Source organism: Homo sapiens, chromosome 11, assembly GCF_000001405.40.
Source record: "Homo sapiens chromosome 11, GRCh38.p14 Primary Assembly".
NCBI classification, from domain to species: domain Eukaryota; kingdom Metazoa; phylum Chordata; class Mammalia; order Primates; family Hominidae; genus Homo; species Homo sapiens.
Genome location: NC_000011.10, coordinates 22436879 through 22439984, shown reverse-complemented (window position 1 = coordinate 22439984; position 3106 = coordinate 22436879).

The following is a 3106-nucleotide window of genomic DNA, read 5'->3' as shown; positions in this document are numbered from 1 at the left end:
GAAAATGTGGCACATATACACCATAGAATACTATGCAGCCATAAAAAAGGATGAGTTCATGTCCTTTGCAGGGACATGGATGAGGCTGGAAACCATCATTCTCAGCAAAGTAACACAGGAACAGTAAACCAAACACCACATATTCTCACTCGTAAGTGGGAGCTGAGCAATGGGAACACATGGACACAGGGATGGAAACATCACACACTGGGGCCTGTCAGGGAGTGGAGGGCTAGGGGAGGGATAGCATTAGGAGAAATACCTAATGTAGATGATGGGTTGATGGGTGCAGCAAACCACCATGACACATGTATACCTATGTAACAAACCTGCACGTTCTGCACATGTATCCCAGAACTTAAAGAATAGTAATAGTAAAAAAAGAATGAAAAACAAAAAGCGTCACTAAAGAATATCCTTGACAAAATAGCAAAATCTATTACTTTTATTGAACCTCCACTCTTAAATACACATCTTTTCAATATTCTATGTGATGAAATGGGAAGTACACATAAAGCGCTTTTGCTGTACAATGATTATCTCAAAGTAAAACACTTATGTAATTGAGTTGAGAACTGAATTAACCATTTTTCATGGAGCAGCATTTTATTCAAAAGAACAACTGAAAAACTTGAGTATTTGGCAGACATTTTCTAAAAAATAAACAAAGCGAGTCTGTCGTTTCAAGAAAAACAACTGACAGTATTTGTTGCCAGTGACAAAATTTGAGTTTTCCAACAAAAATTAGAATTTTGGAAAATCTGTATATACCATCATGAGCTTGAAAGCTTCCCAGTGCTTAAGACTTATCTGATGATAATATTGATCATATTAACAAATGCTTTCTGATATTTTAAAATGAAATATGTCAAAATTTGGAATATGTGCATAATTCAGTAAAGTAATACTTTCCAAATGGCCAATACTTGATGGTACAAAATCATAAATGGATAAAAGATTTACTCAGAGTGCAAGGCTGACTGATGGTTTCTAATGTAACCAAGTATGGAAAGTTCATTGATATGATTTTAGATTTTACATTGTAATTAACATTAAGGAAACAACCACTTGTCAAGTTTTGATGTAGCATTACAGAACAGCCACAATTACCTGAAAATACTATTACAGTAGTCTTCCCTTTTCCAACTACTTATCTGTGTGAGGCTGGATATTCTTTTTTTTATATATTTATTTTTTAGACCCAGGGTCTTTCTCTGTTGCCCTAGCTGGAGTGCAATGGTGCAATTATGGCTCAGTGGAGACTCCAGCTCCTGGGCTCAAGCCATCCTCCCATCTCAGCCTCCTGAGTAACTGGACTACAGGCACATGCCACGATGCTTGTTGTTTTTTTTTTTTAATTTTATATTGACAGAGTTTCACTATGTTGATCAGGCTGATCTCGAACTCCTAGATTCAGGTGATCTTCCTGCCTTGGCCTCCCAAAGTGCTAGAATTACAAGTATGAGCCACCATGTTGTATTCTGTTATGCATATATTAAAGAGATTTGCAAAAATGTGGAAAATGACACTCTTCCCACAATTTGTTTTTAATTTGTAAACTATAGTCATTTTCAATGAAAAATGTTTTTATGTTAACATATGATGGGGTAATTCTTATTATTTCTAGATAAACTAATAATTTAAAAATTTTGTTTTAGTTTTTAATATGACAAATATCAATAGATATAACCTATACAAACAAAATTTCTTTGGGTGTTTTGTAATTTAAGATTTTCAAAGTCCCAAGACAAAAAAAATTAAGGATCAATCCCTTATAGCAGATATCACCAGTTTACATTCTATTCTATATTTTTACTTATTGTGTATTGTCTATCTCCATCTATCAGATTATTAGCCATGAGAAGAGGGCTAGATCTGTCTTGTTTGTTAATATCTTCTGTGCCTACAAGAGTGACTTGCATATAATAGGTGCTTCATAAAAAATATTTGTTGACATGAATGAATCTTAACTCTAAGGATGAAGAAATGGCATCTGAAAGAGGTTTTAAGTTATGTACCCAAGGTCACATCTCTAGTAAGTGGCTGAGGAAGCATTCAAATACAGCTTTGTCTAATTTCAAAGCTCATGCACTTAATTAAATTATTCAATGAAATTGCCTCTGCAGTGAGGATTTGGAGGTGGTCTTATCACAGCAATATTTAGCTTTAATGTCAAAAGACTTACAGTCTTTATGAACTTCTATAGTATTTTGTCTTAGACATGAAATTATTGTAAAACTACAAAGAACTTTAGAGGGTATTTATTTCAACTTCTCATAGAGTTGGGTCATAGAGTTAATTATTTATAAAACTTAAGGACTAAGCCCCAGAGCTTCCATCCATACCCATTAGGGCAATATGTTGTGGAAGCAAAGTCATGAGAATCACATGAAGTCACTTTCATTTCTTCTGCCTCATCCCAGATTTCTTTTCTAAAACCCCAGATGATAAGGAACGGCATGGAAGAAATGGAGCCTGGCATGCTAAGTTGAGAACTTTGATTTTCTGACCACAGCAAATCTATTTTTCCATCGCTGACAATTAGGCCACACATCCTTTAGAGGTGTGCCTTGATCAATGACACCCAGCTACACAAAGCAGGCCCTGCCCTCTGAGCGATCACTTCATCTAAAATGGATGCACATTCTAGCTTTCCTGCACTAGGCCACTAGGCCGAGGTGCAGCGTATAGGTCTTTACCAACAGTCCTTTGGTAAGGCCCTTACCAAGTCTCTCTTGTAATTGAATTGCTTTTCCTTTATATTTGATACTTAAACCAACAAATAAAAATGTTTTATTTCCAAATCATTTCAAATGTTGCAAGGCAGCAACCAGAGCAAATGTGACTCAAATCATCACTAAAGAATATGTTCATGGGAGTGTGCACATGAAACATTGCTGAGTAGTTGTAGAATATAATAAAAAAGGGCACTGTGCCTCCTACACTTTGCCATCACAGTGCTCAGGGCAATACCTATTTCACACCAATTCCAATGCCCAGGGAAACACCCATGATCAGTGTTGGCTTTAAGCACTGAGTAGCTACTTAGGGTGGTAAGCTCCCCAGCTTCTAGCATATAGCAGAGGATCAATAAATAATCATTGAA